Source organism: Homo sapiens, chromosome 3, assembly GCF_000001405.40.
Source record: "Homo sapiens chromosome 3, GRCh38.p14 Primary Assembly".
NCBI classification, from domain to species: domain Eukaryota; kingdom Metazoa; phylum Chordata; class Mammalia; order Primates; family Hominidae; genus Homo; species Homo sapiens.
The window spans coordinates 173602516-173615548 of NC_000003.12; the positions used below are offsets into that span (position 1 = coordinate 173602516).

The following is a 13033-nucleotide window of genomic DNA, read 5'->3' on the forward strand; positions in this document are numbered from 1 at the left end:
CACATCAGTGGGAAACAGGAGCTTCTTTATCCTTAACACAGGGATTTCTAAGTACAAAAAAAGGAGTGTTATTTTGTTAATAACAAAACAAGTATTTGATATCAGTTGTGCGAAGAAAAACTTTTGGAAATTGCTGTAGAGTACTTGAAAATTAGGTTGAATAAAACATGATGATGGACTTTTAAGACCTCACCACAGGTTCTCTGAGTTAGGTGTCAAAACAGTGCATTTTTAACACCAAAAGGAACTTGCAAAGACTCATTCATGCTGTGGCCCACTATGATGCTGCAGAAGAGTCAGCATTATATACACTTTACAGAAATGGGTTTGTGTAGCTGAATCTTCGATAAATGCTAGAGTTCTGGAACAGGAATTGGATTGGTCTAAGCTTGTCTTTTGTATATTAATGTGCTTTCACAGCAAAGGTATGTGAATTAACACAGACTAAAGTATTTTCAAGGAAAGACATTTATCTCCTTATAGCCTTCTGTGATGGATTGTTCAGAGCTAAAGACACACTAGGCCAGAACCAAATCTCCTGCTGCCCTATATAGTTTTTACAATCTCCTTTTAAGTAACACAAAGTCAGGGCAGTCTCACTGCCAGACCAACACTTCTTTAGCAATCTTCCCATAATATACAGGATAGAACCATCTCTAATACAAATCAACACTTTATTTTCAAAGTAAGCACTTCAAAAGGTTGCTTGAACAAGAAAAGACACATTTTTTGAGCTGTGTGTTATTTGACAGTTAACATCACATTGCTCTGTGGATTACGTTGCACTGAATGTTATATTTTAGTCTGATGCAGTTTAAGTTGAACTGTGTAAACAGTGATAGATGTTTGATTAGTGTTAATATGCAAGATGCTGTGATTAGGTATGATTATTTTTTTAATCACCACACTCTCTTTTTGTAATCTTCCTTTGATCTCTAACAGACAGTGAGAAAAAAACTGTAATTTAAAATATATTGACTTTGAGTCATAAATTAATTTTTGCATTGCAAATTTATTGATATCTATAATATATAGCAAGATGGTAAAATAACTTGTCTGCAAAAAAAGATGTAAACTTCTATCCCTTTTACAAATTGTATCTAATGCCATTTTCTCTTTTAAATTCTTGAATCTTAATTTCAAATAGGAAACCTATAAGCAAAATTTTATGAAAACATTTGAGATACAGCAAGGAAGTGAGGTAGTTTCATCTGAATAATCATAGCTGAACTCATATGAATTTTCTTGTCCTCATATTATCTTGCTTTTTTTGATAAGCATGGGATTGGGAGCCACCTTTTTGTTTGTTTTCCAATGCATACAATCATTCTTACAGAGTTTGTATCTGTTCTGCTAGTTTACTGCCAGTTTCTTAAAATATTTTCTGCTATTGGGTTTTAAAACTGAAACAGATTAATCTTCTATTGCTTGAAGTGATTGAAGACTATTAATAAAGTATAAATTTCACACCTAACATTCAGTATTTTTAAATAATTTACTGTGACATGTTTCTAAAACTGTGTATTTTAATAAAGCCTGCTTCCATGTAAATGTATATAAAGTCAGCAGATGCATTTCTCAATAATCTTATAATCAGTTAGTTTACTTGTCATCTCACTTCAATCGATGATTTTCCTATGGTAACATTTAACTTACCTGATGCTAGTCATTATTAATGTATTTCTGTAGATTGTAAAACATCTAGTTATCACACTGTCTATGTTAGCTTGTTCCAGCTCATGATTTATTTTCATTTTTTCTAGGATATAGACCTGCAGCTAACTGGATTTGATTTATAAGAGAGAAATCTGCAGTCAATGCCCACTCTTGCCACACTGCTAATATGGAAAACAGAATGTTCAATAGGATATGGTCTGATAAATAGTGATGATTGAAGATGCTGCTCCAATACATGTGAAATCAATGGGAGATATCTGCTGTCTGAAGATCTTTCAGAGCTTTTCTCGACAAGCTCCCCTGTAAGAAATCGGAGGTATATTCTACCATTATACAGTCTTTCTCAAGTGGATATAAATACGTTTGCCTCACTGTAACCAGACAACTAGACAACTAATGTGGGACCATGGCACTGCCCAGATGCACGTGGCCAAATTATGTTTGGAGAGCAGTGATGGCATGCTTGGTACACCGGGGATTGGGTGCCCCATTGACTCTCTGTATGTTGGGATGTTTGCTTCAGGCTGGCCATGTGCTATCACAAAAATTGGATGATGTGGACCCACTGGTGGCTACCAACTTTGGAAAGATAAGAGGGATTAAGAAGGAACTCAATAATGAAATTTTGGGGCCTGTTATTCAATTTCTTGGGGTTCCATATGCAGCCCCACCAACAGGGGAACGTCGTTTTCAGCCTCCAGAACCACCATCTCCCTGGTCAGATATCAGAAATGCCACTCAATTTGCTCCTGTGTGTCCCCAGAATATCATTGATGGCAGATTGCCAGAAGTCATGCTTCCTGTGTGGTTTACTAATAACTTGGATGTGGTTTCATCATATGTGCAAGACCAGAGCGAAGACTGCCTATATTTAAATATATATGTCCCGACTGAGGATGGTGAGTTTATTGCAGGAAAAACAGGGAGATATATTTATATATTTTTTCTATTCTAAGTTCTAACAATATTAATTCATGTGTACTGGTAGTATGCATGGCTTTTCCTGTTGGCATGTAGACATATTTTACATGCGTGCATGGTGCTCTTTTTGTTTATGTGTGTCAGTGTATCTGTACTTATTTTTTTCCTGTGCTTACTCATTTTCTTTCCTCCACAGCACGTATATTTAGGTAGAAATGGGTTTCTAATTTCCATTTCCTACCAAATGACTTCTGAGAAGATGCATCAACATTTCCTCATTGCATGTGCAGGCTCAACGAATTGGGGATCTTTCGCACTCAGTAAATGCAGGAGCGTATTGAGTTAGATAGTGGTGTTGCATGTTCCGGCGGTCTATGATGGAGCGCCATGTTATTTTCTAGTCTTCTATTCATTTTTCAGTAAAAAGAATATCCAAGGAATGTGCCAGAAAGCCCGGCAAGAAAATATGTAGAAAAGGAGGTATGTATAAAAGTGGAAATTAAAAATGGGGGAAAAAGCTTGCAGAGGAAGAACAAGATACTCTCCCTAAGGATGATTTGCTGATGCTGGGAAGTAAATGGTTAGGTGATGTTTGGAATCTGATGAAGGCTGTCAAGGAATATAAAGGTGTTTAAGGAGAGCTCTAGCTGAGTAGATTACATTGGCAAAGCTCATTGGTTGTGCCTTGTGTTCTGGTGCTGGTAGCATCGGCAAGAGTTGAATCTTGGCTTTGAGTTTGTGTTTAGTGGAATATGTACTTAGGCTATTATGATACCTGCAAGGAACCAAAACAATGCTGTCTTAGGAACTGGTAACTTTGATCTCTGAACTCTTTTCTACAGATATATATTTGTGTTCCTCTTAGAATTTGATCACTCAATCACAAATCTAGTTGTTTTGTTTATTCTCAGCATTCCATCTGAACACTCTATGGACTTTCTCATCCTAAGGATAAATTTTCCATAATTATTGAGCAATTATTATTATTAAGGTAATAGTGTTTTTTTCTTAGTCTTTTCATTTTCAGTCACTTTTCCAGAGGAGAATGAGATTTTGCAGATTTGATACTAAATATTTACAGTCTTAAAATTACTTTAACATTTTTATATTTACGTTAAACAATTTAAAACATAGAGAAGTGCATGATTCAGAAGCTACAATTAAATCAACCTTCAAATCATCCTCTAGCCAGATTGAGCAAATGTAGACACTGACAGCTGCAAGCTTGCATCTGAATGTAGCTTGTCCACACTCCACTTTTATATAACATTCAGTAAATCACTCATAGGAGAGTATGCTTTTCTATGGCAGTAAATCATCTAAGTGTTATTTTGACCTTGTTCATAACTTTGTAGAATTTCCAATCTTCATACAGAAGTCATATTAATATTCTAATGCTGCACATTCTATCTCTCTATGCACTTCTAATATCCTGGCTGGACCAAGTCAGATTTCATTATAGCATCCTTGTGGGGCAGGGAATGTCTAAACTGTTCTGTTCTACTGGGATTGCATTTATATGGAAGACACTTTATAAATAACAAAATTCATAACTCAGTTCAGAATTATTTGCATTAAATTGAGGGTTTTTTTGTTTGCTTTGTCTTTGCTGTTATTTCTTGGGTAATACTGGTAGAGTGGGATTTAACCTTCATTCTTTATTGATGTTATGAATTGGGTTAAAAGCACACTATACTTAAGAAGATGGATATGGAGGCAATAAGGGTGTTTTAAATGACTAAAAAAGTCTCTTTTTTTCTGCAAATGAAAATAACTGCAGTAATTTACATACCTTTAATTAATGTACAATACTGCAGTAGTTATTATGATGCAGCTTATCAAGCATGTGTAATTAGCTAAGTGACTTTCGCCTCCTATTACAAAGATGTTGATTCACAAAGTCATAAATAAAGATGCTATTGAAGAATGCATAGAGCATAATAAATAAAAACATGTATGATGAAGAAAAAGATAAGAGCACCAAAAGGTAAGCTAGTGAGTGAGAAAGTGACCTTTCTTCTCATACAACTTTAGAGGATAAAAGATTTATTAGAAAATTCTTTTTCATTGTTCTTTGTATTGTTGGTTCCATTTGCTTTAGTAAGAGAGTTGGCAAAGAGATGTGTAGGCAATGCTATTTACCTTCACAAACTCTGAACTAAGTAATAATTAGAATGAGGACAACATCTATCAATGCCCACTTGAGCTTGTATGGTTTACAGTTTAAGTCGGTTGTGCTTATTCATACTATTAACTATGCATTCTAAAAATCATTTTGGCTTGGGAATTTAATATATCCAATTATTATTATTAAATACATTCTGCTCATTTATTAGCTCTTTGTACATTATCCTAAAGTCTAAATAACAAAAATTTTTGATGTAATTTTATTATATAAATAGTATTTTTAAAATAAACAAAAACTAAAGTTTAGAGTTTAGCTTTTAACTAGAGGAGTAGAAATCATTTTTCCGAACTTTTACCTGTTTTTTTAAATTATTTTTCTACCATGAAGGGGCTATTTTGGTTATTTCAAGATACCATATTTTGGGAGTCAAGAAATTATTAGTCCCTTTATATCTGTTTATATATATACTAATATATACTGCATGTGGACTGTGAGATTTTCAGTAGAATGCCAAGAGTGTATAAATGATGGTTTAGGAACTGTGAGAATAGTTGCTTTGCCAGGACTTTATGAATGATGGTTCAGGAACTGTGAGAGTGGCTGCTTTGCCTTTTATCTAGATGCCATTAAAATCCTGTCTTGTTATTATTTATTCTTTTATTATGTATGGATCACCTGCAGAGACAGATGGACTCCCATCCCTGAGCCAAGTACTCTATAATCTGTGCATATTGTATTCATGCAAAACTATTTCCTAATTGCCAATTACAAGCCACATACTATTCAAGTCAGTCCTCTTCCCATAGAACTTATAATCAAACAACTTTACAAAGAGCAAAGTATTTTCTGTACTTTGTTGTGTATAAAAGAAAAGAAATCTTATCCCTCCTCCAAGAGATGTTGTTCTATAATTTTTAAATAGAGCATTTACAATATTTTCCTGCAATTAAAGAAAAAAGCTCATTTTTATCAATAGGCTGCCTTCATTTTAAAACGGGTCCCAGTTGTACTTTTTAATCTGTTTTTTAATATTTCCCATGATAGTTTTAGCCATATGTTAATTAACCTCTAGATCTTTCTTCAGAGTTTTATCCTTACAAAATGGAAAAGAAGAATGAATTCTTAAAATGAGATGATTTTCAACACTTGAACAAACAGGCAGATAACATGATAGAAACTGGAGTTTGGTTGTGGAGAACAGACACCTGGTTTTATATATTAGGTGTTTTGCGTAATTTATCCATTTAATCATCATAGCAACATTAGGAGAAAAGTATATTACTCTGTCTGTTTTTTAATTTTAAACTTTTTATCTCTATTTTACAAGTAAGAAGGTAGACTCTGAAAAGTTAGGTATTCCAACCTTACCACTGGCTGCTAGTTAGTGGTAGAGGCAAGTTTGGCCTTAATTCTTTTTTACATTAGATAGATTTCCGTTATGTTAAATTACCTCCTGTGATGATTTCCATAGCAGAGACTTATATCTATCCATCCTTCCTCTCTCTCTTTTTTCCTTCTTTCTTTAACACATTCAAATATGTCATGAGTTCTTTTTATTCTATCAGTTGACCGTATTTTAGACAGACTTAATGCTCACCTTAATTGAATTGAATCAAGCTAATGTTAGCAGCCAATTTCCAAAAATATATTCAGTAATCATTTAGTGAATACTTTAAACCTCAATTACTTTTGCGCCAATCTAATAATACCACATGCTTCTTACTGTCCAGATTAAGATCCCCACATATTCCTCCTGGCTGCTATCAAGGAGTTGCTTTAACTTGCTTAAGTTTCCCTCTGTTTCTTTAGGTTGCTCTCCTGTGAGAGTCGCTAACAAACAAGAAAGTGGTCAAATATTAGACAGTAAACATGAGAAGGAGAAACAAAGGACCCAGAGAGGATTCACAAACACATTGTCTGGCTCATGGATTCTCTAGAGTTGTGTAGTCTTGTGTTTCTCCAGCACTTTTACTATTATTTGCATAGCTCTTCTAAGATGGATACAGAACTAATTTTCATTCCTGCACTTGTGAGACATTAACTTGCTTTTCTATTTACCCCAATTTGTATTGTGCAGAAGATTAAAATCTTTGTATATGACTCTGGTACAGTCATTTACTCTTTGAGCATTTTGGTCGTGATTTTCAAAAGTGTTTTACGTGCTCTGGTTCATGGTCTTTACCTGAGATAATATTGAATTCTTTCAAGAGCCTTTTCCACAGGTTTTTGGTTTGTCTGGTTGTCTATTTAACATAGGGACTGATTTTTTCCTAATTTAATATGTATAACAATGACTCCTAGTACTGTCAAGGTTTTTAAGACTCTAAAAGGGGATTATATTCCAGAATGTTCTTCCTTTTTGCTTATACATTTCTCACTCATTTACTTATTCATTTGACAACTATTTATTGAGTACTTACTCTGTGCTGAGTATTGCTCTAGGTACAGAGTAAATAAAAGAAGACAAAAACCTTTCCTGCTTGTATAAAGCTTACAACCTAGTGGTAGAGACAGTTTGTAAATGATGAACACAATAAAAACTAAATTAAAAAGGTGTGAGAGGGTGAGAAATTGAAACAGAGTATGAAAGACCAAGAGTGCTGGTATGGAGAGTGAAAATAGTTAAAAATAAAATGAAGACTACCTCATTCGAGCAAAGATCTGAAGGAGATAAAGTGAGTATCTAGAGAAAGATATTTAAGGAACAATTAGGAATATAGCAGATCTGGAAAGGGGGAAAAGAGAGAGAGACAGAATAATCTGACTTGATATTTTTAAAAAGTCACTCTGGTGGATGTATTGAGAGTAGGTTGTAGGAGAGCATGGAGAAATGGGGAGAGTAAGAGGAGGCTCCAGGTAAGACTTGGTCATGGTCCAGGCTCAAACCAGGGTAGTAACCACGGAAGTGATAGATTCTTCATATATTTTAAAGATCACATTCCTTGATCAATTTGCTGTGGGCTGTGAAAGAAAAGAAGAAGTCAAAGAAGATTACTATGTTTTTTATCTGAATACCTGGAATAATAGATTTGCCATCAATTAAGATGGAAAGGAAGAAGGGTTACGGGAGAAGCAGAGTACAAAAATAAGTTTAGTTTTGGACATGTTTAATTTGAGGTGACCCTTAGACATTCAAGTCAAGACATCAAAAAGCCAGTTTCTTGAACCAATATCTTGAATTAAGGTAGAGAGAAAGGTCTATGTAGAGATATAAATTTGGCAGTTACTCTAATATAGAAGGTAAAGATTTCAAGTCATGAGCTTGAGAGAGAATAAAAGGAAGTGAATGAAGATAACAAAAGAAACAAGACAACAAGGTTTAATTTATAGGAACATTCCAACATTATGAGGTCTGGAAGAAGAGAAGGACAGCAATGGAAACTGAGAAAGAATTATGTATGAGGTGGTAGGTAAACCAAGATTTTTTTTGTTGGCCTGGAAGTTAAGTAAGGAAAATGTCTCCAAGTGGGCATAGTGATCAACTGTGCCAAATTAACTTTTGTGGGGTGGTGTGGGTTTTACACACTGGAGTGTGTCTAAGAGAGAATGGGTGAAGATTTGGAGTGGCTTAACATAAATAATTATTTTAAAGAGTTTTGCTTTTTAAAAAGGCATCAGAAAAATACGAGAAGTGAGGAAAATAGAGGTTGCTTTTGTTACGGTAGGTTAAGATAGAAGAAATAAAGAAATATTTTTATACAACAGCAAACGAACAATATTAAATACAGGCAAAAGATGGTAGAAATTCTGGAACAGTATCCTTCAGTAGGTGAGAAAGGTGGGATTTGCAGATTTTGAATTAAAGGAAGGAACGTGGGTAGAAAAATTAGTATGTTGCTATGCACAGTACATGAGTGTGAGTGCATGGGCAGAAGTATAGTGGGGTTCTGCTGTTATCTGATTCTTTCAATTGTTTGATGTGTAATGTTAAGGAAAATGAAGATAGAATTAACATCAGTGAGATCTTCCTATGGTCTAGACATCATGGCATATTAATTTATTTGATATCGCAACAGCCTCGTGAGGTTCTCACCGTCACTTTCCAGATGTAGAAATGGAGGAACAAAGAAGTTAAATTATCTTGCCCAAAGATTCATAATTTGTTGTTGGCCAACTGTTTCCTTTGAAAGAGTTATTTTAGAATGGAGGAACTAAAACACAACAACAAAAACAGCACAAAGCAACAATAAAAATCATGTTTATATGGGATTTAAGATCACATAGAAAATGAAATTGGTGGCCAATTTGCTAGTAGAAAAATCACCACACACTGAAATAATTAAAACGCCTAGTTCACTTAGAGTTTGAAGATGAATGTAAAACTATATTGAACCAGAGATTTGGCTTCATATTTGAATTAGTAACTGTGGACAGATGTGGTTATGTCTTCTAAAAGCTAAACAGTGTAAGTTGGGACTCTGAAATGAAGTAGATCTAAAGGGCTGTAAAGTTTTAAAAGAACAACATCAGTTGTTCCATTGTTTACTGACAGACAGAGACAGTCTCCTGAAGCAGATGATTAAAAGACCATTATAGTTGTCCAATTCAATTTTTCCAAAGAATAAATACTTTTTTTCTTATAGAAACTGGGGTTGAAGTTGAAAACATTTAAGATTTATGCCACCAGCAGAAAGAGTTATGCTAGAAAATAAATTCTTGGTAAAAACTGCTATCCTTTCTCCTACCGTATGTAATATCTTTCCTTATTTATTCTTTTCACATATATGGCATTCGATGAGCTTAATAATTAGAATGCAATGGTTTTTTTTTAAGTTGAGTTCTATATTACTCACCATTACACATTTTGTAGATAATATTCTGGTCTTTAATATCTCTCCTATGAATACTCTTCTCCTTCTTCCTCTCCTGGCAGGACATGCTAACGTAGTTTAGGACATGGCAGAATTCGAACGTCACACCAGTATAGACGTTTGCTAGTAACAATTCCGGAGAATCATTCTGAGTTTGATCACCTTAAACTCTGGACAAGTTGTAGAAGCATAATTTCTAATCATAAATCTTCACATAGCCTTTTATAACTGGACAGAGTACTTTATGTAACACTTCTTGTATAAGTTGCCTAGGCTGCTGTAACAAATTATCACAAACTGTGTGGTTTAAAACAATAGGGATTTATTCTCTCAAAGTCTGGAGTCAAGAAGTTTAAAATCAAGGAGTGGGAAGGATTGGCTCTTTCTGGAGGCTCTACAGGAGTACCTCCCTGCTTTTTTCTAGTTTCCAGAGGTTACTAATAGTCCTTGCTGTTCCTTGGCTTGTAGTTGCATCACTCCAATTTCTAGCTCTGTTGTCACATAGCTTTCTTTCCTGTGTGTCTCCCTACATCCCCATGTCTTCATGCGGTCTTCTTACACAGGTGCTGGCCCCTAGACTTAGGGCCCTTTCTAATCCAGTGTGACCTCATCTTCATTATATTTACAAAAGCCTATTTACAAATAAGGTCATTGTATCGCTTTGGTGAATTGCTGTAACAAAGTACCACAAACTGGGTAGCGTAAACAGCAGAATTGTTGTTGTTTTGCAGTTCTGGAGACTAACAAGTCTGATATCAGCACATGGGCATGGTTGGTTCTTTCTGAGGGCTGCGAAGAAGAATCAGTTCTGGGCCTCTCTTTGTGTCTTATCAATGGCTGTCTTCTCCCTGTGTCTCTTCACATGGCCTTCTGCCTGTGTATATGTCTGTGTTCCAATGGTCAATATTTTAGAAGGATACAAGTCATATTGGATTATGGCACAACCTAATGACCTCAACGTAATTAATTATATCTGTAACGATCTCATTTCTAAATAAGGTCACATTTGAGGTACTCAGGTTAGGACTTTAACATATAGAATTTTGGGGAGACACAATTCAACCTATAACTGTCACATCTGAAGGTTCAGCTGGACATAAGTTATTGAAGGACACTAAGGACATTGCCACTTTTTTCCAAACTAATCCTCAGAATGATCCCAAATGTTTCTATCATTATGTCTATTTTAAATGTTGAAAAACTATAGCTTATTGGGGTTAAATAAGTTGCCCAAGTTCACATGACTGTTAGGAGTACTGAGACTCCTATTCAAATCAAAACTCAATGTGATAGCTCCCTTTACCACGATGACCCTTCCTACAGATAATGAATTTTCTGTGCCCTCCTGAGAAGTTCTTTTAATTTGTTTTTTGGTATTTTTCTATCAAGATAGGATACGATGCATTAGTCCATATGCTTTTATAAATCCAAGTGTTTGACTTTGTGTCAACAAAATGATTCAGTTTTTTGATATATTTCTTGAATTTTAAACATTTTATCCAGATGGTTGCTTATATGCAAACATGGTTTAAGTTAAAATGAAGATCCTACCAATTTAAAACTGTAATATTATTGCTTTTCAGTTCTGTTCCATTTGTTACTTTAGGGAATTGAACAACGTTATTTTTAAAATAATTTTTAAGTTAAGACCTAATTCTTTGTTTACTATAATCCTATTCATTTGGTATCTATGAAATGATACCACTAAAGCAATTTAAGCATAGCTCATAATTTTCATGAAAGCCTGTAAAATGTTGCAAAAATCAGATTTAAGCAATGACGAAAAGAAAATAAAAGGATCTGGAGTCATTGTAACCATAATTATCATTTTTAAAAGTAGAAAAATCTGATTAATGAACAGTGGTCCTAATTTTTTGGTCCCCATTGCAGGAATGAAGGAGGGAGTCTTCACTTTCCTTTTCTTCTTCTTCTTTTTTTTTTCTTGAGGCAAAGATCTTTGGAGTAGTTATTCCACTTAAAAAAAAAAAAAAAGACCATATCATCTCCTAGTCTTAGAAGCATATAAAAACATCTGCCTTTTCATCTTACAAAAGTGCTCACATTTTCTTTTCTCCAAAAGGTTTGGGGCTCCTCTTCTAGAGTCTTCTTTCTGAGTTCCCCTAATTGGAAAGTGAAAGAAGGAAGAGCAGGGGTAGAGGGATAAGTATGAGCAGGGGCAGGGGGATAAGTATGAACAGGACAGGTTGACACTAGGACAAGTAATGTAACCCTGTCGAGTAGTAGTAACTATAGCTACTCTCAGTAAAGGAAGAGGGATCCCTGGTTAAAATTATTAAAAATATATATGTGCTTCCTAATTTGGACTCCTAGGCCTCTTGGGAACAGGTATGTTCTGTGGAGGATCTCTAAAAAGAAGAATGCCTGCAACATCCTCTAACTCTCCATCCCTGCTAAGTTCCCACAAACCATCTTCCTCAGCTCACCATCTTTCTCAGCGCACCATCTTTCCTGACAATGAGCAGGCCAGGCCTCAGTTTGCAATTCTGAGCTTTCATTAAAGAGAACTGATATGTTGCTTTGGCACAGTAATTTACAAGGAGGCAGATCCTGAGGTTTCTGAGCTCCTCCAAGCTAGGCAGCCAAGCAGCCTATCAGTGCTTCTCTTGACCTATCCCCAACTTCCCACCAAAGCAAACACCCACACTCCCACACACACCCACTTGGACAGCTTCCTCATCCCTCACACATATGTATATGGAGACACCACCTACAATGGAAAGATTTCTTTCCTTTTCTTCACTTTTCTTCTCTCCTTCCTTGATTTCTTTCTTCCAGAGCAAAGGGAGCTTCTGTTGCCTTATTAAAATGTTTGGAAGTCATTCATTTAAGGAATAACTTCATTTCAGTGAAAATGGAAATATTTATAAATTTGCATTCTGAGGAGAAAATATTTCCTAAAATGGCCGCTTAAATGATTTTGTATTCCAACTGACTCTGAAAGGCCAGAGATGAGTTGTTTTTTTTTCTTCTGTATTTATTTTATGAAATTCTTTGGCCACCTCCGCAGTTTAGCAAAGGGTGTTCTTATAGGGGTAGAGGGGAAGAAAACATAAAACTTTGTATAATATTTACTGGGGCCTCAGACTATCATCAGGTAGAAACTTTGACTATTGCAAGTGGTGCTTTTATCAATTAATTGATTGATTGATTGTTATTCTTTTTGGTGTTGTTGCTTTGCTGGTGTTGTGTCCTGGAGGCCCTGCCTCAGGTTTCCCAGTTTGGCTGTTTCCTGTCTCTCTCAGCCATGGCCTACTATGGACAAAGTGCCCCATCTGGCACTTTGGGAAAGAGATGTTCTTTGCCCTCAGAGGGTTTATTTACATTGCAAGAAAAACCTCAGTAACAAGAAATAGGGCTTTTTTTGTTGATGTCCGTGTCAATATTACTAAGTAAATGTAAGTTTGATATGTATTAAAATCTCCAAAAAACAAAATGAGGAAATAGCTGCTTCTGTAAAGAAAGAAAAGGTAATGAT

General features: G+C 35.1%; 1 protein-coding gene across 32 annotated transcripts in view; it reads left to right on the plus strand.

Moving 5' to 3' along the window:
- The window catches only part of NLGN1 (neuroligin 1), an 898421-nt gene that overhangs the window by 206564 nt on the left and 678824 nt on the right, over positions 1-13033 (plus strand). For 26 of the 32 annotated variants that reach the window (XM_017005893.2, XM_047447706.1, NM_001365923.2 and 23 more), the window contains one exon: positions 1764-2576. In XM_017005893.2, coding sequence (XP_016861382.1) covers positions 2084-2576 — 493 coding nt within the window. In that variant the 5' untranslated portion in view covers positions 1764-2083. Of the gene's footprint in view, positions 1-1763; positions 2577-3018; positions 3079-13033 lie in introns of all 32 variants that reach the window. The other 6 variants (NM_001365924.2, NM_001365926.2, XM_047447707.1 and 3 more) reach the window with 1 other exon arrangement.